This window comes from Homo sapiens, chromosome 15 (genome assembly GCF_000001405.40).
Source record: "Homo sapiens chromosome 15, GRCh38.p14 Primary Assembly".
Classification (NCBI taxonomy): Eukaryota; Metazoa; Chordata; class Mammalia; order Primates; family Hominidae; genus Homo; species Homo sapiens.
The window spans coordinates 49121020-49146501 of NC_000015.10; the positions used below are offsets into that span (position 1 = coordinate 49121020).

General features: G+C 34.2%; 1 protein-coding gene across 2 annotated transcripts in view; it reads right to left on the bottom strand.

Moving 5' to 3' along the window:
• Nucleotides 1-1707: 1707 nt before the first annotated feature.
• Nucleotides 1708-25482, bottom strand: part of COPS2 (COP9 signalosome subunit 2) — a 32873-nt gene continuing 9098 nt past the window's right edge. The window contains exons 2-13 of one of the 2 annotated variants that reach the window (NM_004236.4): nt 23946-24059; nt 23208-23285; nt 18509-18634; nt 16329-16418; nt 16131-16208; nt 13321-13495; nt 12911-13089; nt 12740-12792; nt 9700-9797; nt 8458-8540; nt 7683-7741; nt 1708-7075 (exon numbers count right to left, since the gene is read on the bottom strand). In NM_004236.4, the coding sequence (NP_004227.1) occupies nt 6931-7075; nt 7683-7741; nt 8458-8540; nt 9700-9797; nt 12740-12792; nt 12911-13089; nt 13321-13495; nt 16131-16208; nt 16329-16418; nt 18509-18634; nt 23208-23285; nt 23946-24059 (1278 nt within the window). In that variant the 3' untranslated portion in view covers nt 1708-6930. Of the gene's footprint in view, nt 7076-7682; nt 7742-8457; nt 8541-9699; nt 9798-12739; nt 12793-12910; nt 13090-13320; nt 13496-16130; nt 16209-16328; nt 16440-18508; nt 18635-23207; nt 23286-23945; nt 24060-25482 lie in introns of both variants that reach the window. The other variant, NM_001143887.2, reaches the window with a different exon arrangement.

Consider the following 25482-nt stretch of genomic DNA (forward strand, 5'->3'; position numbering starts at 1 on the left):
TTGAATCTGAGATACCCATCTCTACGAATATGCACTTAACCTCTGCCTGAACTGCTCTTCCTCTAGATCTGCATGTCCAGCTTCTTTCCTCATTTAAGTGTGAAATAAACTTTTATTGATAGGATTTTTCTCTAAAATCAACTTGTGTATCTGCCTCTCCCCATACAGCTAAGCTCTTTGAGCACAAGGATAATTTATTCCATATGGTATTCTTCAACTTTAGAATGGTCCCTAGCACATGGTAGGCACAATAAATACCTGTCTCAATAGATTAAGCGGTTAGAGAAAGGATATAACCCTTTTAGTATTCTAGCATGTTTGAATTCCTTTCTTTACCTGTTGGTGGTAAAGACGGTAATAATGACAGTGACTTAAGTTTTAACAACCAACCTTACCTTACCCAATTAGTACATTAGTTTATCATCTATATTTAGTCCCAAAACTTGAGACAACGTCTGTCACCCAGGCTGGACTATAGTGGCATGATCATGGCTCACTACAGCCTCAACCTCCGTGGGCTCAGGTGATCCTCCCACAACAGCTCTGGAGAAGCTGGGACTATGACTCGTACCATCATGCTGGCTAATTTTTATATTTTTTTGTAGAGATGGGGTTTCACCATGTTGCCCAGGCTGGTTTCAAACTCCTGGGCTCAAGTGATCTGCCCACCTTGGTCTCCCAAAGTGCTGGGATTACAGAAGTGAGCCACCTTGCCTGGCCACAAAACTTATTTTTTGAGTTAGGTAACTCTTCTTCAGTTGAAGACCACTAACCTACAGTGGTTCATAATCCGAGGCTTAAAATAGGTTTCTGGAAAGAAAGAAAAAAATTCCATTCATTACTCTAAAAATTGAGAGTTGGGAATATAAAACCATTAAGTACCACAAATAAAATAACTCAAATGTCAGATGTATATTGCTTATGTAGTTTCTTGCTGGGCTAATGCTATCAACATAATACCACCTACCACTGCTGTGTGAAATGCAGCTGAAATAGAAGTAGCTAATCTGTTTCACTCCTCTTCTACTCCCACAACTTGGAAGGCCAAAGGATTTGCAATGACAATTTGCAGTGACATTAGTTTTAGACACTTACATTGGAACCTTGGTTATACGGCTATTAGTCTGAAAGTTCTTTTGACTTTCAAGAGCTGTCTGATTGTGTTATCACTGTACTTTGAGATTAGGGTGGTCCATTCCACCAGGTGAATGTTACATCTGAGAACATTATTTTTAGATATATAATAAATTCACAAGTGGTTTCTTAGATGTTGCAGTCCTTAAATAGTTCATTTTAAAGCACCATAACAAGGCTTACAAAGCTTGGGAGAGAACATTTCTTACCCCACGTCTTTCCTTGGCTTAATTTCCTGCTTTAAAGTGTTTAATTTTATACTGAAGGAATAATTCCTGAGACATTTGTTTGAAACATGAATTGTTCCAGGTCAGATAATTAAACAGCTCAGGAGAGAACAGCTCCTCCATGAATGCTTCAAAGCATAATAAAAAGGTAATCTTAAACATGGAAAATACTAAAATCCTTTCAAACCAAATGAACAAGATTTTCAGTACTTTAGAGAAGCATTCTTAAAACATTCAACAGCTATTTTACAGAAGTATACATTTTTGAAGTACTAGATCAAACATAAAGTTACTGTGCTGATCTTGAGCATTGTAACTAATGTTAACACAGTAAATACTTAAGAAGTAGATTACGTATTTTTTATTACCAATAAGGAATGTGCACTTCCAGATAAATAAAAAAACCCTTGAGTATTTAAGCCTTACAGCATCTTATGACACATCCTGCACATATAATCAGTTCTCAATTATTAATTGGTGGAACTGACCATTTCAGGCAGACATCCTGTTACATTCCTAATCACCTACTACTTCCTTCCCACCTAGTGTTAGCTCAAGGAATTTGATACCTTTTATATTAGCTTATCATAAACAAAATGGAGAAAATTTATAATGCAACCAATTATGTAACACATTGCAAAACCAAACAACTTTCTATTTTCCATGTCATTGCTCCATTTCTTGAAATATATTTTAATTTTCTTCAGTGTTATTTAAAATAGATGCATAAAAATTTATTACTGTCGTAAACAGTAAGGGATAGGCAAACATTTGAACAGAAATTAGATACTCAACACTTGGCATTAATATGTTGCTAATAAGCATGCCAAAACTTTTGACAACTTCATGGGATGACGCTAGAGATTACTTTTTCTAAACTCTAAACTCCCATAAAATGGATGTACAATAAAACAACCTTTAGCAATTAATTTTAAAATGCCCTTACTTCAGAATTAAAAAATTACTCTAGATTATGTAAATTTGGACAGTCTTCCACATGAAACCTAGTCATAACACGCAAGTTACTGGTACACTGGTAATTCTTTTCATGGCATATGACATTTGCCTGTGTCAGAAATAAGTGATATTAAGTAAAATAGAAAACTGGAAAATTACTGTGATAAACTGGTGATGAATTTTGTACTCCCACAAGTATGTTTCACTTATTACATATGTATACATATGCACACAAAAAAGTTTTGGTCAGCTATTCATGTGGAAATTCTGAGCAAAGTTCATAATTTTGCCAACACGGAACAAAGTTGCCCCCGAATAGTAAGTACTTAAGAAATAATTTTTTCTTTTTTCCTGTCACAGGGTTTTAAGGTACACTTGGCATATACCTTTGATGCCGTAATATTTTTAACTACTACAGGTAGTTTAGATATTATTATACGTGACAGTAAAAAAGTAAAATTTTAGAGAACCACACACTGGTTTCTTCTGAGACATTACCTAAGACGAATCTCCTTAAAATTCAAAAGCAAGTAAGTGATGCTAAACTTTAGCATTTTGAGAAACATGTAGAATCACTAGTTGACAGTTTAAATTTGTGGTGCTTAATATAACACAAATCCTCCAAATGGCATTTAAACTCACATTTTAATGGCCCAAGAAGTTACTATAAATTTAATAATCTCGAGTTAAAGAGAACCTCCAATTTGTCTTCGTTACGAAATTTCTGCCAAATTCCTGCTTAAAACTGTATCAGGCTGGGCGTGGTGGCTCACGCCTGTAATCCCAGCACTATGGGAGGCCAAAGCGGTGGATCGCCTGAGGTCAGGAGTTTGAGACCAGCCTGGCCAACATGGTGAAATCTTGTCTCTACTAAAAACACAAAAATTAGCTGGGCGTGGTGGCGGGTGTCTGTAATCCCAGCTACTCCGGAGATTGAGGCAGGAGAATCGCTTGAACCCGGGAGGTGGAGGTGGCAGTGAACTGAGATTGCGCCACTGCACTCCAGCCTGGGTGACAAGAGCGAAACTGTTTCCAAAAAAAGCAAAACAAAAACAAAAACAAAAAAACCGTATCAAACAAATATAAATAGGATGCTGATTTGGGGGAAAAAAAAACCTAAAACAATGAAAACTAAAAGAAAACCTCCAGAAAAAGAAAAAAAGAGGAAAATTTTAATTGTGGTCACATAAATGAAGACCAAATGCCTTTTGCGTCACATTCTGAAACCTGATACTCCATCTCTTGTTCTGGATAGTGTTCTTAAACACTTTGATACAAAATAGTTAAATGTCAAATTCCTTTTTTTGTTATATACTTCAGTTCAAAATGTTTATCTTCTTCAAAATGCTAGAAATATTTAGTCATAAATCCCATATGAAGAATGAAACTCCCAGCTTTACTTGTGTATGCTCAAGCCTCACTTCAAAAATCTAAATCAAAAGAGAAATTTTCAGGTTTAAAAGTGACTAAAATAATATTTTAAAAAATCCTTAGTAAATTAATGATTACAGATCTCTGAGCTTCTTAAAAAGAGGTAAAGGGAATCCACTAGGCAAATAATTTTTTGTCTTATGGACTAACTGCTTCACCCATAGATTTAGACTGACACTGACACCACAAAAGCATACATACCTGTGTTTACTGAAGAACTGTAACTATTGATTAAAAAAGAAAATTTCCCACAAAATTTCTACCATCATGGATATTTTAAATATTAAGAATAAGAGTTTTTCAGTCTAAGACAAACCTAAGTCTTACATAAGGTAACAAACACTACCACCCACAGTATAGCTCATTTAAAATAGGCCTCACTTAAATATTAGGTTCTCAGTTTTCCTGAAAGATGTATCAGCCTGTAGTTAGAAGGGACTCATGTAATGAGAGCATTACTTAGTACATATATACTCATCTTTAAAAAGAAATCAGTTATGTTACATTAAGATGTAGAGAAAAAGTATTTAATCAACAACTTTAATGTAAGAGCAAGAGTGAGTAATGGAAATCCAGCTCTTGTAGTAGAGAGCATCTACTTGTGGCAGCCAAAGATTTCTTTGCAGTAACTTTTAGCTAGGTTTAGGGATAAAAAGAAGAATGAGATGAACACATTACAATATGATGTAAACCACTGGTATGGTTTTCACAAAAGTGGAAAAGATTTAATCAGTGAATAAATGCTACAAATTTGCCAATCGATTTTTAACTTCCCCTAAATTTATATTTCGATAAGCAATCTCTAAGATTTCAACTCTACAATATTTGATGCACAAAAACACAGAAAAATGTTTTAAGGGAAGAATAAATTATTTTAAGTTAGTCAGACTGTTAAGATATATTTAAAAACCTGTATTCCAGAACAAAAGTCACAGATGACTAACAGAAAAAAAAGAACGCACCTATATCTGGGTAAACAAAGCTATGTAATACACAATTACAATAAATTATTATGGTATAACTTTGGATACTGTTATATATTTAGCCCAGTTTTCCAAATAACAAGTGCATGCTTTCTCTCTAGAAAGTGGAAGATGCACTATTGTACAAAGCAAAGATAGCACAGGAGAACTGGGCACTGTAAGAATTGGAGGATAAAGGTTAAATCATTTCATTCAAATCTTTGAATTCTAATTCCATCAACTCAAAAGTTAAGAAGGGCTTTAGCTTTCAAGGGTTATCACATGCATACATATTTGAATACAGGCACAAAAACTCATCATTTTTATTTGGATAACAAAGGGTCTCCAAATTATATTGAAAAATAAATCCTAATTAATATCACTCTTGTAAAAAAAGTTTAGCACACTTTTCACAAATGATTTATGTAAAAGAGAAAATACACATAATTTTATAATATCTTAAACTTTTATTCCCTACCATAGACATTTTGTCTTTTGTTTTCTTTCCGTTTTCTACAATTTCCAACTTGTACCTGTGTTTAATACTGCTTTAGTCTGCTAAAGACATTAACTGATTGCTTTTCTAAATCTAAGGATTATATATTTTTAGTATAAATATATATCACATATTTTCGTAAAATTTTGACAAAACCGAATAAGCATGCCTTGTTTTAAGTCCATGCTCCTTCCACTGTTTATAAAATCTGATTTAATGATCAAAAAATTCTTGGTTGTCACTCTTCTGTAACCACAATCTTCCTTCTGAACTGCCACCCAGTTTTTACATAATAATAACAAGCAATAGAAAAACCAAAGAAATTATGTTAATCCTAGTTCTTCCTTTCGACACTATAAAATAATGTGAACTTTTTAAAAAATGAAACAAATACATCCAAAACTCAATACATTCAAATGAGCTGAGTTCCTTTAAGGTAGTTACCTTGGAAGGCCACAGTTCATTCTCCTAAGTATACTGCCACTGCTCAAAAAACCTTTAAAACTCTTTTGGGATTGCCTTCAAAGCCAGTTATATACTTTCTGCATTACCTCAAAGTTAGGTGGAAGTTTTGGAAACTTTCATTTGGTGCCAAGTAATGGTAACTAAAAATAATCAAGCTTCCTAATACTATATTTTTTAAAACAATGTATAATCATAAAGTTTAGTGTGTGTGACAAATTAACTTTGAATGCAATTCTAAAAGAGTAAACTCAGCAGGTTTTGGGCAATGGTAGATTGCTGGCATTAGGAAATAACCTTCCAGCATGATCACTATGCAGAGTAACATTCATTTAGCTGTCTATGTTCTGGCATATTCGTTTAAAGTGAACATTCTGAGAGTTAGTATTCTTTTGAAAAGGAATATCACTCTTTAAAAAAAAAGAATTTTATTCCTTTAAAGCATCACTGTCATAACTATGCACGTGTTTTGTTAGAAAGTAGTTCTCCTTACTCTATCAATAAAGACTACTTTTAAAAACTTGAAAGCAAATAACCAACTTATTTGCCCCCAGGCTTTTTAAAATCATTAACTGAAGATAAAATAATTTGAAATTTCGAAGGTACTAAAAAACAAAACAACTCCAAATGTAATAAAAACACATCAAGAACCAAACTACAATTTCTGAGCTGCACTGTTTATTTTGCTGCTTGAAACCTAAGTGACAGTATGCCACTATAATTATGGGGTTTCGTCTAAACCTTTACTACACTGCAGGTACAGAAATATACGGACACATTTTTAGAGAATTGACATTTTGCAAAATGCAGCAAACATTTTAATTTATACATGAGAAAAGGAAGTGTTCAAAAGGGTATGCATTTCAAGTTATTGCAGGTTATTTGTGAGAGAATTTCTGCAGGTAAAACATGTTTAAATTTAACCAACAGTAGCGTGTCAGTGTATTTAAAATCATGACAAAAATCTTCTCTCTGGTCATGTTGCCCATGACAAATTACTATGATGTTGTACGTTTAGGGCAAGATGTCAATACAGCATAAATCCCATGGTATTTTGGTTTTCTTCTGGAGATTAAAGCTGTTTTTCTTGGGATAAATGCAGCAGCAAAACACAAACCAGTTGATCAAAAAAGCACTTCTGCCATAACTCCAATAATTTTCAGGACACATCAACCGACAGTAGTTTTGCCATTCCCAGTTCTTTTAAGGATTACATCTCTGCACTGTTGCCTTAAGGACGTCTGTAAAAGCTTGTTCTCTGTTAAGCCAGTTTACTGACTACAGCCTGGTTGAGAGAATTTAGTTGGTTGGTCCATTTATCTAGTGCAGTATATCGTGCACCACCCCTCTTCTGATGATCCAGTTCAAGGAGTTGGTTGACTTGATCAATTCGGCCATGAATAGTGCTAGAAAGAAATAAATAAGATGTGTCTACAAAAGACTTTCATCAAGCACAGTTTCTGGATTAATGTTTCATAAAATACAGTATCAACAAATGCCAAAAAAAAAGCAGCTGCCTACATTAAATGAGTTCAGTGTTAGTTTTAACTTCACTGTGTTATTCAAACTCTAGATAGAAACCAGATTTCAGATACTTTTCATCAGTTTCACTGAAAGACCCATAAGGCATAGATTTATCCGATTAATCAAAGGCAAGTATCACCTGTGAAGCTTTAAACAATGTACTGTTTTCAAGTAAGATACAATTTCAAAAATGTTATGTACCACATACCCTATACTTAAAAACATACATAAATACTATTCATTAAATAATTCTTTGGCTGTATATAATAAGAAATCCTTCTGAAAAATCATTTAGAACTTTTTCTGAGATGTGTTTAATACGCTCATTCATCAAAAACCATCACACATACATATATATCTCTTCTAATAGAAAACCATACCCAAGGGTGCTTTTTATGAATAATCAAGAATCCAATTGTTACCTTTGTCACTATTATTCAAAACTTACGGTACCAAATATTTTGTGATAAAAAATAGTAAAGTACTTACTTATCCAATATGCACTGCACCAGCAAGCTCTCCACATCAGCTACATCTATGTTTAACTCCTAAGACAAAAGACTTGTTATATACCAATTAACATTTTAAAGACTTCATAATTTTACACAATCATTCTAATTTTAATTCATTTCTATCACTTAAAGGAAAATTAGTGAAGAGAAGATTTTTAAACATATTTCATTATCACTTCAAAATATATCCGAGAACACAGGTATGATAAAGACTTAAATTTTTAACTTCTGAAGCACATTCCTGCAACAATTTTATTGTGGTTGAAGTTAACCCTTCATCAATTACATATTTTAGCCACTACTTTCCCCTACAATTTTCTCTGAGGGTGAAAGAATCCTTAAAAAGAAATTTAGTGATTCCTAATTTCTTTGTTACAATGTTAAGGCTCTTTTCTGTTAACTCAATTTATGCCAAGAAAACAGAAAAATTCACATTAAAAGTAAAGCCCAGTCCCAGCTACTCAGGAGGCTGAGGTAGGAGGACTGCCTGAGGTCAGGAGTTCAAGACTACAGTGTGCCACACTGTGCCTGTGAATAGCCACTGTACTCCAGCCTGGGCTATACAGCAAGACCCTGTCTCTTAAAAAAAAAAAAAATGATTAAAAGTAAAGCCCTTAAGTTATGTTTAATTTAAAAAATGTATTATTATAATAAAATGTTACCAAGTTAGAGTGACTCTTAAATGCAAGACTGGTATACTGCATTTATAACTATAAATTATAAACATCATTAAAATCTATGAATATAAGTACCTTAGAAATAAAAGGAATATGTATTCTTGTGTAAGGCTTAATTAATTTTATAAGCACTTGTGTTCTGATGTTTCGCAAAAGCTCTGAAAGACAAAAAATTAAAATAACATTTTATTTAACAGTTTGTATGATATCTTTATGGATCATTATGTACTCCTAATTATCTTCTCAAAATACATCTTCCTGCTTGGCAATGATATAAAGTGTTTAGATTTTAAAATACCTGGGTCAATGGATGGACAGTATGATCAGCTGCTGCCTATCCCATAATTTCTTGTTCCCACCTCCTTGATTTTGTTGACATTGAGACTCTACTAAAATATTATTTTGCCTTCTCAATATTACACTACTTATCATTTCCTCAACAGTTAATATCTTTAAAGAAGCTCTGATTTATACCAGCCAGCCAAGTTCCTTGTTTTAGACTCTCTCAAAACCTAGAGTACTATATTTTATATAATGCTTTTACAATTTCCTCCAGTTTTGTCTGTACAATAGTTCTTAAAATTTTTTAAAACCAGGTTGAAATTCATGTACAAAGATTCTACGTTTTTCTATATCTATAAACTGCAGTATCATTCCAGGTTCATGTAAGAACTTTTAAAATGTCTGTTGATTAAAAGAGAAAGAAAGATGGGGAACAGAACATTACTTCTGATGCATCTGAAATTTAGTTCCAAATGGTCATTTAAAAACCTTCAAATAGCTCCATAATAGGTGGGAAAATCGGAGCTATAAAAGAAGTCCAAGAGCAAAGAGATGATTGTAGTCTTTGGTAATTCAATATAACTTGCTAAAAACCTCATTCACTTACTGGTATGAAACCTTCACAGTGTTGCCTTATCTTTCATAGTACATATATCTTAGCATTATCTATAGCAGGATATTTTCATAACTTTTGTTATTTGTCAAAAATAAACCTTAAAAATTAACTTTGAACCTAAGCATCAATAATAAACATGCAACAGCATCTATATTAGATTTTTTTAAAAAGGGACAGTTACCTTAAACAAAATGGACATTATATATAAACTTGACTATAGTAATATGAAATTGGTCAATTTCTTTAAAAGAGCTTCATAATTTTAAGGAATATCCCATCCAATGACAGCATTTAGAAACATATCTATACTTTGCAATAGACAGAAAGAAAACAGCTTAATGCCATGCAGCTTCATTAAGTGGCATTTCTTTGACAGTGGCAAAGAAAGTAATAGAATCCAGTTGGCAGAAAGAACATACCTTCAATGTGTTCTCTTATGAAAGGATCATCCATGATGTTGCTGTGATTTGTTTTTAGAATCTTTTCAAATTCAGTGATGTCATTATTCTGATAGGCACTAATAGAAAAACAAAGTGTAAATTATGTCAAACATGAAGAAGTTATGTATTAAATCAGATAATCCAAAGACCCTGCTTCTCAACTTTCATATGCAAAAATCTAAATAATATTATACTTTCTGTCATGGAAATCACAGTTAAACAAGCACACATAACCTTCTGCCAAAAAAAACATAAATTTCCTTTTCATGCTTTTGGTTTTTTAAAAGAAAGATTAAATAAATCTTCTTTTGGGGTTATATACTATATTTATACAAAGTTAATTAAAATCACCTCAATATCTTACTTCTCTTAAAAGTTGGCAATAAAACATTTAACAACTATTTAATGTTTGATGTTTTCAAATGAAATTGTGCATTTAATTCCTAATTGTTCATAATGAAAGGAACCAGGCTTCATGTACACTACATGAAGGGGTGTAGCCTCGTCTTTCAAATGAGAAAGCATATCCTCTGTGTAGGTTATTCAGAAAATGCAGCTTCTTAATTTTTATATTCTAGAAAGCTACCAGCAACTGTGAAAATTTTCAAAAGGAACATTTCTCAATCCCCTGTTGCAGAAGGCCAAAGACTGATTTATATTCATAATTCTCTGAGGTATCTAGTATCTCCTCTTGAAATAATTCTGTAAAGCTCTATGGGAATTGCTAAAGGTGCTGAGAAGGAAGAATCCAACCTTGTGGATATGGCACCATTGTCTGCTTTATACGTAAGACATTATCATCAGCTATACTGCACGCCCTCTGCTAGTGCTTCCATCTGTTGGGTCCCAATGTAACCTCATATTAGGGGCACGTGATTCAAGTGCTTTGACAGGAATTATTTTCCTCTAGTCTCCTGGCAACTGACTAGGAAGACAAAATTAGGAAGCATTACTTTCTTACCTACCCCAAATACACTGCTGTAATATACTATAGGAGGACATATTCAAGCATTGAAAACACTTGCACAAACATTTGTTTTATATTTGTGTACATACATATTTTAACCGTAAGACATTCTTCCATTTCTTAAGTGGGGTTTCAAAAAAAACATCTTATACAAAATTGTGGGACACCATGCATCACATCATGTGGGTCAAAATTTACCATTAAAATAAGTTTTGAGTTCTAATACAGTGGCTTTGCTGGAGTAGTTGGATATAATAAATTTATAAATGTCATTATATATTCTGATATAGGTCAGATAAAGGTCTGACAAATCAGTCCTTTAACCAATTTTAATGTACTTAGCCAATTTAATTTATACAAAATATCAATGTCTAGGGTAAAGCTTTTCCTCAATATTTCTTAGAGTTTTAAAAGTGTAAACTGCTGCTTAGCAATTTAACATTATAAACAACTTTGGTTCTTAGTTAATGTGACCAAATGTGAATGAAATAAACTATCTGAAATAAAGATGACGTTTCCTTTAATAATGAAAAGCAACCTAATTCAACAAATAAATTAAAATAAAGTAAACAATAAAGAAACTGATTTAATGTGGTAACTTAAGGTTTTTAATTCCAAACTGTTCTTAGTCCCCCTAAAAAAAAACGCTTTTTTTTTTACAGCCAAAATTAAGGTTTCTTTAAAAAAAGTTAAATGAGGACATTTTACACAGGAACTTTAATATCATGAAATAAGCTATCTTCTCCAAGTATACACAATTTATATGTAGGTGACCCATAATGTACAGTCTAATAGTGTTTTCTGTTAAATGAAAAAGTACTATAAATAGAACTTCTGGTCACCTAAATTATTTACATATATCTGCAAAAAAAAAAAAAAAAAAAAAAGCCCTGCTTCATGTCCCTAACTACATTTTTCCAGCTGTGGTAAAACTCAGCTGTACAACTTAAAATAAAAGACTTGAAGAAATTTAGTAAATTTCTTATACTTTTTTAATGAATAAAACCCACAAAAACCCTGGGTTCCATTTATTCTATGCCTGGAGGAAAGTTTCTCTTACTCACTAATTCCTTTTGCAAAAATGGGCCTTTTCTTCTAGGTTTTTTGTTTGGTCTTATCTTCCATAATTTTGTCGAATATTAATTGACTATGGTAGGTTCTTCAGTGGTTAACCATCATTACATCTTCCTCCACAGAATCATTCAATAAATCTTGGGTTTCTTACCAGTACGACCCTTCTGTCACCCCACACTCCACCTCAGAAAATTATCCATTGTAAACATTTTTTTTTTTTTTTTTTGAGACGGAGTCTTGCTCTATCGCCCAGGCTGGAGTTCTGTGGCGCAATCTCAGCTCACTGCCACCTCTGCCTCCCGGGTTCATGCCATTCTCCTGCCTCAGCCTCCCGAGTAGCTGAGACTACAGGCGCCTGCCACCACGCCCGGCTAATTTTTTGTATTTTTAGTAGAGACGGGGTTTCACCGTGTTAGCCAGGATGGTCTTGATCTCCTGATCTTGTGATCCACCCGCCTTGGCCTCCCAAAGTGCTGGGATGACAGGCGTGAGCCACCACGCCCAGCCTATCCATTGTAAACATTTTTAAAAATACTTTCATCTTGTCATTGAGAAAATATATGAGTAAAAAAATATGCTTATGCTGTCTTGTCTTACTGAAAATTCTTGACTCATCTTGGACTAGTTCGTAATTTCATTCTGGATTAAGAGAGGTATAGGCAGTATCATTGTGAAATAATGTTTTAAGACATCCACAATCAGTTTTCCACTGAAAGACACAGGTGCATTCGTGCGTGCGCAGACAGACAGACACACACACATGGATAATAGGAAAACTAAGTAGATACTTTATAAAATCTTGTGGCTACAGAAAATAGCGTAATAAATAACCTCAGAAGATAAAAATTCTACAAACTTTTCTAAGAAAATACAAAAGGGCAAATGTTGAATATTAACTGAGTTCTGAAAAGTTTTCTCACTCTTTCCTTTATGAACTGCTTTAAGGAAATTTACCTTAACTGAAATACAAAATCTTACCTTACTAAATTCGTCATTGCTAAAATTTCTGGATCATTTTTGTACGGCTTGGCCTAAACACAGTAAAGAAAAAAATTAAATATATGTACAAAGAAACAACATTTTAAAAAAAGAAATAACATTTATTTCCAGATAGCTGATAAGAGAAATTAACAATTAAAACACACGTACCTCCTGTGAGTCAAATGGATTTATTCCCGATTTCATAAGCATATTTGCTAAGACCAAATATTTTAAGCAAGTGGTTCGTCTTGGACTTCCAGATTCATCATAATTCTTGAAGGCTTCAAAAAAATCAGTGTGTGCCTTTTCAAATTCACCTTCCCTCAAGTGCATTTTACCACCACATTCTGTGAAGAATAAGACATGAGAAAATAGGACATTTTCAGTTCTGTAATAACAAAACTGACCACCTCATAAATGCCAAATGAAAACTATTTCAGTGCCTTTCAGTTTTTAAATTCTGTAACTTGAATACTACTGGCCCCAAGGTATACACTGAAGTTCTAAAAAGCAAGAGTTTAATTAAACACTTTGATATCTCCCCATGCCACTGCCCACCCTCTCCAAACCAAACTTGCCTCTGATAACTCCCATAATCAGTGGATGAGGGATGGCAGACTTGATGTGAAGTGACTGTTCATAGAGTGCTTTAAGTTTTTTGTTATTTTTCTGTGCTGTGTACATTTGAATTTCCAAAGCATATATTTCTAATAACTGTGTACCTTTTTTCAGATCATCTTCTCCATCATCAGTCTAGGAAAGCAAATATTTAACTTTAGACAAGATAGAATTCAGACAGTAATTCTTATTTGCATTAGCCTGGAAATCTTACATTTATAATACTATTTCCATGTGAAAACACAACACAAATTTTAATTGGGAGCTACAGTACTAAGAATACCACTTGTAATGGCCAAAAAGAAACTAATACATCCTTTCTACTTTTTAGTTATGAGATAAGGAAAAAGTAGCCAAAGGTTTTTTTTATAGTAGTCCTTCCTTATCCACAGGGAATATATTCCAAGACGTCCAGTGGATGCCTGAAACTATGTATAGTAGTATGTTTTTTCCTATATAGTAAGTCCTCGTTTAACACTGTCGATAGGTTCTTGGAAACCATGACCTTAAGCAAAACAATGTACAATGAAATCATTTTTTCCCCTCATCAATGTAGTGTTGAACAAAACAACATTAAATCACAGTTTCTAAGAACCTATTAACAACGTTAAGTGAAAACTTACTATACAGACATACCTATGATTAAGTTTAATTTATAAATCAGGTACAGTGAGACATTAACAATAACTGATCATAAAATAGAACACATAACAATATACTGTAATAAAAGTTATGTGAATGTGATCTCTCTCTCTCAAAATATCTTATTTTCAGACCACAGGAAATAAGCTGACCACAGGAAACTGAAATTGAAGAAAGCAATCTGTGGATAAGGGTTGGGAGGACTGCTGTACGTATGAAATGTTTTAATGTTTATGTTTTTATCTAGGAGATTTATTATTGTCTTCCCAAAATCTTCACAACTGCTTTAGAACCACTTATTCAATTAAAAAGCCCTTCCTAAGTCCCTTCCACATGCCAGGCACTGGGTCTGTCATGGGGAAATACAAAGTTAAAAAAGCCAAGGTTCCCGGTCTCAAAAAGTTCACACTCTAGTAGAAGATTAATCTGTCAGTAGATAAATTACAATGTAAGTGACAATGACTAGGTGAAGCATAAACCAAGTGCCTAGGAGAATGAAATAGGGACTAACCTTCCTGGAGGACGTCACAGGAATCACAAAAAAGTGCTGACATTTGAGCATGACTTTAAAGTTGACCAACAGCCCATGAAATGTGGGCCATGAAAAATAGCAATATGATCAACAGGAAGATATTCATAAATATCTCACACTGACATACACTAAGCCAAAATTTATTGGGTCTTCAAACTTAAAATTCTGTTTAATTATTCACTAATGAATCATAACCAGAGTAAAACATACAATATACAAAACAATTTATACATCTAGAGTATCCTGCATCTTTCCCTGAACATACTTCCATCAAAGTACTAAGTAATATAATGCTATTTACCATCCTGATAGCATTTTTATGTTCTTAAAGCAAAACTTCTTCAAAGGGTTTTCTCAAATTCCTTATATACATACTGAAAGACCCTCCACCATTCAGAGATGGCTGTTCCAGCATTTCCATTTCATAGGGAACTGAACCTCCAGTTGGTTATGCATCAGACTAAAGCATCTTAACAATGTGTAGATAAGAAATAATTCCTAAGTGACTAATCTGCTTTACAAAACAAAACTATTGAATATCTGCAGGTGATTCATTTAGAACAGTTTCTTAATCGTTTCTCCCATTCACAGAAATGACACATATATCATTAAAATAATACTACATGGTGGCAAGCGTGGGGAGGGGTTGAAAAAAAGTAGTACGTGGCATTGGAAGAGTTTAAAAATATTTAAAGCAGTATTTCCACATTCAATTTAAACTAGTATTAAATGATGTATTTGGTTAAGACAAAAAAGGGAATATAAAATGAAAGCCTGGTTAAAAAGTTATAGAGCCATTCTGTCCTGACCATATGGCTTTTCAAATTTAAAGTAATTAATTACAGAAAATAAAGAACTCAGTACCTCTGTCACAATAGCCATACTTCAAATGCTTGATAGCTACACATAGCTGGTGCTACCATATTTGATAACAGATATAGAACATTCCCAGTATCACTTGAAGTTCTGTTGGACAGTGCTGCTAGGATTCATATAAATTGGAATATAAAAATATCTTTATTACACGTTTGTAATATCCTGGCTCTGTTTTCACAGGGTATATAACTACATATCAATATAATAGTAAGTATTACAATAGGCCTGTTTGTTTATTGATACTGGTACCTCATTAGACAAAGAATAAAGATTGAGGGGCCAGGCATGGTGGCTCACACCTGTAATCCCAGCACTTTGGGTGGCCGAGGCGGTGATCGCCTGAGCTCAGGAGTTCAAGACTAGCCTGGGCAACATGGCAAAACCCCACCTCTACAAAAAAATACAAAAAATTAGCTGGGCATGGTGGTGTGCACTTGTAGTCCCAGCTACTTAGGAGGCTGAGGTGGGAAGACTGCTTCAGCCCAGGAGGTAAAGGTTGCAGTGAGCCAAGATCGCACCACTGCACTCTCCAGCCTGGGTGACAGAGCCATACCCTCTCTCTCAAAAAAAAAAAGATAATTTTATAACTTATTTTCTAAATTTTATTTTTCAGATAATGCTTAAACTAAAACATCCCTAAACAATATTTTGAATATAATTATTGCTTATACTTTTTTTTTATTATGAAGAAATATTCAGAAAAAAATAAGGGAAAGCTACCTGGCACGACTGATGTAACTGGCGTAAAATTTTTTGAAGCTTTCCATATTCCTCTCGTTCTAAATATAATTTTCCAAGCTGCAAGAAAGCAAATTTATTAAAATCAAGATTTCAACAGAAGATGTGCATCTTTAGGAGACTTTATTAAAAACACCCACCCACTTTTCAAAAGAAAAGTGTAAGTATTATAACGGTTACCTTTGTGTTTGTCTTAAACCACAGTCTATCATTCTTAGCATCTTTCAAAGCTTCCAGTGTTGTTTCATAGAATTCCTGCAGTAAATCCATCTGACATAAAAAATCAGAATTCTATAATTGTAAACAGCAAATTTGTACCTGTTAATAAAGTTAATTTGAACAAACTAAAAGTGCATCTTTGAACTTTAATACACATAAGATACACTATCTGTATCTTACTGTCTTCTACAGTCCAAAAAATTAACAAACTGAAGCAAAATACAGACCAAATTTACAAGTACCATGATGCGTTGTTTTATAGAACCCAGAAAATATTTCCCCATATAAACATAGTGCTGTAAGTTCTCATGCTGTAATAGTACACGTTTGTCCTTCCCAATCTAATAATACATTCTGTATTTTATTTTACTTTTTAAAAAGCTATTCAAGTGAAGCAGTGGGAGTGGAGAAGGAACAAAGTAATCTGTAACTGGTTGTGCTCAATTAGCTGTAAATACCACTCCACTCACATCAGCCACTCATTTCATATTAACAGCAGTAAATGAAATGTACATAGAACTAGTTGTATTATTACTAACAGTGTATATCTTATTCACTCAACTCTTATTTGGAGCCTACAATGTGGCAAACACTAAGCATGCTGGTGAAGAAACAAAGAATAAGCTCCTTCCCTCAAAATTCTTCTATAAATATGACTAAGTAACTCAACTGCATAGCTTTTAAGTCACTGGTAAACCATGGAGGTGGGTGGAGAGAAAAGTCTAGTATAATTTTAGCTATGTCTAATCACCACCAAATCACCAATCTGTGTGGCATTTTTTCACGGAAATCATTATTTGTTTTACATCTTGTTAAGTTCCCCTGCCCACCCTCTTCCCCCCGCTTCTGGCTTTGCCTTTGTTTGAATATCTAATTCTCTGCTTAACAGGATCAAGAAGAGGACTGTAAGAGCAGGAAAATTTCACATTTTCAGAAAACACTCTCTATTTATGCATGACTGCTGATGGCATATTGAATAGAACAGAGTACCACCCACCCAATATCTGTTGTTACTTTCAAAAGACAAAAACCTTACATATAACCACACACAGAGCATGCAGTCCTGAAGTTTCAAAATCACTCGATTCCCTCTCCCTGCTCCAATTACTGGCATAATATTTATAAACAGTATACAAAATATGTTTTGATGACACTTGTTTTTAAGAGTTGGAAAACATTTTCCCACTTTAGGAAAGCTCCATGATATATAGCTTAACTCTAGAATTAGTGTCATTAAGTGTTAATATTCTAACAAAACATGTAAGTTTACCTTCCTCTATTGGCATTACATAAAATTTAAATGTAAAGAGTACAAACTGCCTGAAAAAAATGACATCTAGTAGAAAAGACATTAAATGAGGCTGATTCTGATCTGAACATTCTTTGATTACGAGTACAAAAAGTATCAAATATTCTAAGAAATACTAAATGACATAGAGACTATATCTTGTACTCAAGTATCACAGAGTAAGAGGACGAAAAACTAAAACTGAGGACTATACTGCTTACAAGGATAAGGACAAATGATCCAATTAAAAATTATCTTAGCAAAAATATATATAAAATAATCATTGGTTTTCTTAATAACCAAAATCTAGACTCATAATGAAAGCACTATCACTCCCAATACCTTCTTTAGTTTCTTTCATCAGTAGCTCTTCTTTCATTATCCACCCATCCTTTGCAGAAGCATTTACTGAGCACCTGTTGAGTAATGCCAAACACTAACTGATAAGAGCACAGGCACTTCTCAAAGATTTTAATATAACCAAATCCACACAAATAACCTGTGATTCAGTGTATTTAACACCTCAGAATGGCTAGCTAAAGTGTTAATGTAGTTTATTAGAAGGACCTGTGGTAGCAACTGTATAGGAGTCTAACATAAGCCTGAAAAGTTGTTTACAGATTTTAGCATCTGAAGGCATTATTTAAAGAGATCAAGCTGGAGTTATTACCTTTTACTATTATATAATCAGTAATATAACCAGGAAAATAGTACTTATCATTTTTAAAGCATACTAATAACTAGCACAACTACTTAAATAGAAGCTCTAGGCCTTTCCATCTATAAAGAACAAAGCCCTTACTATAAATAATAAACACACTGATCGTCCCAAGAGGGGAAAATTGAGTCTAACCTGTTTAGAAGTAGAGATATAATCAAGAATAGAATTAATGGATTTTTCAGAATAATTTCTTGTGACTGCACTCCGAATATAGGTCAATAGCTGCTTATATCTATTCATCATTTCTGGAAAGTTTGTCTGTGAGAAAAGAAAAATGAATTATCAGATGCAAATTTAGGTACTAAAATATGTACACATGATTAAGGTTATAGAATACACTACTACATAATGAAATGTAGTTCATATAGTTCCTGATATAGTTTTGTAAAAGAGGAACTATGTATGACAGGAACATTGTAATTACCTTAAATTTGAAATGACTAGATTACTCAAACCAAATGTATAAAGTTAGCTTATGAAACAAGTACAACTGCTAAATTTTCCAAATTTCAGAAATTGTCATTGCACAACATATTTAAATCATAAAACCTACTACAATATTCATAAGCCAAAACATACAAATAAAATCCAAGTATTTTCTTTTTTTTTGAGACAGAGTTTCACTCTTGTTGCCCAGGCTGGAGTGCATGGCGCGATCTTGACTCACCGCAACCTCCGCCTCCCAGGTTCAAGCGATTCTCCTGCCTCAGCCCTCCAAGTAGCTGGGATTACAGGCATGTGCCACCACACCGGGCTAATTTTGTATTTTTTTTTTTTTTAGTAGGGACAGGGTTTCTCCATGTTGGTCAGGCTGGTCTTGAACTCCCGATCTCAGGTGATCTGCCCGCCTTGGCCTCCCAAAGTGCTGGAATTACAGGTGTGAGCCACTGCACTCGGCCAAAATCCAAGCTTTCAAATGCCTTGGGTACCTGCTATGCAGGATATTAGCTATATTCTTCCCTGTAATTTTATCCCTTCCTCAGGAAGCTCTGCAATAAGAGTTACCTGTTTCTTTTCTCCCTACAACTGGCTGGTTATATATAAAAATGTGAAATTAAACAATTTTTTCAAGCCTCAATACTCGTTTCAAGTCAAGAAAAGACCCCCCATCTAAGGTTCTATTCAAAAGTAGATATAGTAAATGTTGTTATTCCTTGTATTTGTACTATTGAGGTTGTTCCAGGAAACAAGAAAGGTCTAAAAAATAAAGGAGTACTGAGACTTATTCTGGGAGAGGTTTACCATTCCTAAGTATATCCTGTAAGTCAATTTATAAGTCTAACCTTATAACCTGCATCCACAATCCTCATAATCTGCAATTGCTGTTAACCTCTCTTTTTACTGAGTTCTATTTTCTTTTTTTTTTTATCAAAGACATGAAGCATTGGCAGATACAAATGCTTCTTTCCTTGACTAACTGAACATATGTATTTATTAGGGTGAGGAATAAACTAATAATGCTGCAATTATCTTGCTTATGACAATACATTCTGCCCTGAGGCACAGCACAAAGAACAAGAAAACTTGAGAACAATCCCTGAAACCTAACCAAGAATTGAATTACAATAAAGAAAACAGCAGAGGTGGATGGGACAAAAAAAAAAAAAGGATAGAACTATGGAAATATATACATATATAAAACCACTTCTGTTTCCAAGTTTCATGTGGGGGTAAATGATAGGTGACATCCTGTCAATGAGCTGCTAAATCCACATTACAGTACATATCTTGCAGCAAAAGGGAAATCAGAGAAATACGACTATCCTAACTTTGAAGCTGTATCTTGGCACTGAAATAGGAGTTTTGCAAAAAGTTACAGTTTTTGGCTGGGCTTGGTGGCTCACTCCTGTAATCCCAGCCCTTTGAGAGGCTGTGAGCATTGCTTAAGTCCAGGAGTTTGAGACCAGCCTGAGCAACATGGTGAAACCCCGTCTTTACAAAAAACACAAAAATTAGTCAGGTGTGGTGGCATGCGCCTGTAGTCCCAGCTACTTGGAGGCTGAGGGAGGAGGATAGCTTGAGCCCGGGAGGCAGAGGTTGCAGTGATGCAGTGAACCAAGACTGCGCCACTGCACTCCAGCCTGGGCAACAGAGCAAGACTTCATCTCAAAAGAAAAAAAAAAAGTTAGCTTTGAATTTATCTCATGTTATAATAATTTATAGCTCATTTAAAAAACAATTACATTCTAATTAAAGACTGAAGGAAGAGTAGGTAAATTGGTCCCAGAGAAGTTGATAGTGAACCCTTCCAACTTTTTACTATAAAATCACCACACATAACATAGCTCCTACTCTGAGTCCAATCAGAAAACGAGAGGGGCAGGTACAGAAGCTGAAATCACTCTTGTGAACCATAACTTATTCACAGATGCTGCTACAGCAAACAAAAGGTAGATAAGGTAAACAAAATAACATAAAATGCAAAAAACCCTCTCCCTTCCTTCCCACTCTGCTCAAGGTAAAATGGCAAAACCAAGTCTTAAGGGTAGCACAGTGTTCAAATGGACTCGAAACCACTGCTAGTACGTTAAAATAGCAGATTTCTATAGGGACTCTTGGTATTATCTCAAATCACAGAACCTACGAGTTAAACATTCAGCCCCTAATGGCACTATAATTGTTTAATCACAAATTTCTGTCCCTTGAAACACTTGGTGCTTCTTCCACAGCCTTCTAAGTTATTAATCTGAATACAGTAAATGTTTGTGTTTAATATTCTTGCAAACAGAAAATGGAAAGAAAGCATGGGGCTCTGGGCAACATAGAAATGTTTTGAGAGTATCAAAGCAGTAGGAGTAGAAAGGGTAAATATAATGTAGATAATTTTCATTCTTTAACTAGATTTAAGTGCAATATACAATATACTTAATAACATTTAACATGTTTTGAATTGTTCTGATGTATTTTGGGGAAGAAATGAACAAAGACATTTTGTCAACAGCTTCTGTAGGAGATGCCATGGAGTGCCCCTCCTATTAAAGGTGAGATAAACCATACCAGAGTGACAGTACCTCAAAAAGAAGAGGTACAAGATTAGTAGAAGTTAACCTGGATACAAGTACTAGTCAGACGGGATAGAGAAGCTAATGGAGAGGTGGAGGAAACATATCATATGGGAAATACAAAAACAGGGGAAAAAGAAAGTGGTAACATATCAGCTATTCTTCAATTTGCCATAGTTCCTGAACCTTCCAACTGCTTCACTCCCTGCTCATCTGAGCTTCAACTTCATCTTTCTCTCAAAAGTTCTTCTCCTTTAGTGATCTAAGATTCATGTTTGTACCTAGTCCTATCATCTCCTGATCCTTTTTCCCTCCGCTTCTACCCTGTATTCTTTACCAGTTTAAAGAAACCGAGGAATGACATTTTGAGTATAATGTCATAATTCCAGTTTCTCTAGAATAAGTTATGAGTTCATTCAATAAAATATTTGAGCACCAACCAAATGACAGTCACCATTATAGGTTCTAAGATTATAACAACGAATAACACAAAGTCCTGCTCTCATGGAGCTTACAATTTACTTGGGGGGAGGGGTGGGGTGAAGAGGAGCAATAAATAATAGATCACATGGTGACATATGCAAAGAAAAAGAGCAAAGAAGAAATTTAAGTGACGATGGGAAGAATGCTATTTTATATCAGGTGGTCATGGGAAGGCCATCCTGATAAGTGGTGCCATTGAGCAGAGACCTGAATCAAATGAAGAAAAAATCCATATGGTTATCAGAGAAGAGCTTCTGAGGCAGAGGAAACAGCAGGTGCAAGCCTTTACACAGGATTGTGCTTGGGATGACTTGAGGAACAGCAAGAAGGCCAGTGATGGAGCAAATAAAAACAGCAGCAAAGGATGAGCTTACATAGGGATCTGTAGGTCATGGTAAGAATTTTGGATTTTACTAAGGGAGATGGGGACCACTAGAAGATATGGAGCAAAAGAATGGCATAATCTGACTTACATTTTAAAAGGATCACTCTGCTACTTGTGGAAAACTGTAGCAGGGTAAGGATGAAAGTAAGGAGACCAGTTAAGAGGCTATCTCAATAATCCAGGTAAGAAATCATGGTGCCTTGGACCAGAGTAGCAGAGGTAGAAATGGTAAGCACAGTCATACTGGATGTAAAGCCATGTGGATTTGCCAATGGATTATTTGTGGGGTAATAGACAATGAGAAGAGTTAAGCATAATGCTAACGTTTTGGCCCTAGTCAATGGAAGAGAAACTCTTTATAATAAACAGGAGAATTTTAAAACTCCAAAGTAAACACTAATCCTTTGTGGAAAAGTCAATCTATTAATAATGCAGCCCTGGCAGGGTGCGGTGGCTCACGCCTGTAATCCTAGCACTTTGGGAGGCCAAGGCAGGCAGATCACGAGGTCAGGAGATCGAGACCATCCTGGCTAACATGGTGAAAGCCCGTCTCTTCTAAAAACACAAAAAATTAGCTGGGCATGGTGGCATGTGCCTGTAGTTCCAGCTACTCAGGAGGCTGAGGCAGGAGAATCACTTGAACCCAGGAGGCAGAGGTTGCAGTGAACCAAGATTGCACCATTGCACTCCAGCCTGGGTGACAGAGCGGGGGAAAAAAAAAAAAGGCAAATACTGTAAATGCATCTAAAAGAGTAAGTTTTCTTAAATAGAAAACTTCTGTATCCTATGAAGAATTTGTTTTTTTTACTTAGTATTACTATAGTCCCAACTGCAGAGCAGACTAAATATAAAAACACATCCAAAGAAGTACTTTAGAAAAGAAGATATAATAGTACTTTGTCGTGATGAGGTTTTTACCTACAAAATTTATTAGTTTAATTCCCCTCAAAACAAATCTTACCAACTTGAAGTTAATCTTAATCATTTGTTTCAGTGCTTTAAATCCCCATTCTCCTTTTTCACCTTCAAGTTCCAAAACCTAAAAAGAGGAAGAAATTTTTAGTTTATCTTAATATTAACACATTATTTTCTAATGATGCCCAATGTGTAAGTATTGAATTAATTTTATACTATATGCATAAAAAACATTTCCCCAAGGATACCACCATTTCTCAATGTCATTTTTCAGTCTTTAAAAAAAACAAGTTGTAAGATGCCTACATAAGGATAAGCAAGCTTAAAGTTCCTTCATCAGCAAAATAAAGAGCCACTTCTTGATTATTATATAGTTTCTGAAATATTTTTTCCCCTGAATAACCAACCTATGGTAAAAATAATCCGTAAGTGTATCAGTAAGTCAAGAAATCAAGCTATTCATAATAATGAAACCACAACTGTATGATTTACCCCTAAAAGAAACAAGATTGCAGTGATAATACCTACTGACCATCATGTTGGTGGTTCTTCTGCCAGAACCATCCTAGTTTTTCAGGACAATGGCCCTGCTCCATAGACAGCTTGATTGGAAAAAACATCAGGATAACCGTTTTGAAACACTTGCTTGTGCTGCCTAATGCTAACTGATAGGATAATTAAGTATTCAAAACACATTTCTGAGATAAAATCACCTGGGACTTATTTGTTCTAGCATATCATTAAAAAAATTAACACATAGAATCAAATGGAAAAGAATATAAACCTTTTGGAAACTGCTTAATGCCGCTTTTGGGTCATCTTCTTTTAATGCTTTGGAATTATAGTACTGATTTTCCAAATCCACATTTGGCTCGGAGTTACTATCTTCAGAGTATTCCTGTGTTGGAAAGAAAGAAATATTAAAAGAAAAAAAGAAAAGAAACCCACACGTAGCAACGTAAAAAGTGAATGCTGTTAAGACAGAAAAACCACATATTTTTACAAAACAAAACAACCTTGAATACATACGTAAAATGCCACTGATATTCAACTGTTATATAAAACCAGGGGTTGAAGAGAGGAGGAAGGAGGAGTCAAAATCAAGTGTATAGCAGAATATAATCATTACTTTCTTTCAGATGAAAGCTAAAATTTCTATAGAATCAACATAAAAGAAGAATGCAACCTAATATTGGTTAATGACCCCAATTCTGTAGTTGCTAAGCTTTCGTTAGTCATGAAATCTGAGGGAAACCTAACGTAGATGTGTTCTAATTATTAATCTTTGGTTCTGTAATCTAATTTTTCTATTCCCCAAGTCTAAATTTCATTATTGTAACACGGTTTAAAACCAGCTAGGATGGTAATCTACACATGGCAAAGTCATCTAGCACTAAATATAATTATGTTAATAAGAATACTTTCCTTATGTGCACTATACAACAGCTGTTTATACTAATGTTAACTTAATCAGCTTTATAACAAATCAAAATAAATAAAACAAAATGGATTTATATAATTTTATGAGACTTTCTATTACATGAGTTCAATTCTTAGTGGAAAAAAAACAAGGCAGAAGGGAAAACTGGAATAAAACAACTATTTTGTGGAGCAGTATAAACAAGAGTGTTACACAGTTCCAGGACATTCAACCTAATAATGAGGATTACAAAATACACATGGATTGGTATAATGGAAATTATTATCTTATGAGTCATAAGATATAGATTATTTCCTTCTCAGCTTTAAGTCATTACAAAGGGCAAGTTTATATCAAATTAAGAATAGTACCTGGAAACAAACACAAAAAGACAAGAATAGTTTTATAGTTATTTCTAAATCCAAATACAGGTAACAAATTTCTTTATGAGATATTTATGAAAAATTCTGTTACAGTCTCATAAAAGCATAGGAGTGAAGAAAGGTATGCTGTGTATAATAAGTTACTTGAAAGCTCAAAAATACATTAACACAAGATGAATTTTTCAATAATCAAGAGTGGCTTTGTAATGTGCGCCCTCTGGAGGATAATTCCTTCCTCGTGTGAAGACCTGAGTCTGTCAGTCTTACAGATTTAAGACCTGGAATTCCATTCTGTTTAACATATGAAAATCACTTGGAACACTTCTTTTAGGGACAAGATGAAACTAGGTAGTAAATAAGTTTCATAATTATTCATTTACTTCTTAACCCTTGTAATCTAGGCTTGACTACAAAGAAACTGATCAAGCTAAAAAAAAAGAGAAATTAGTAAAGAATGAATAAGCCAACCATACACAGAATGATGCTGTGACAGTGATGGCTTCAAACCTGGGTTTTGA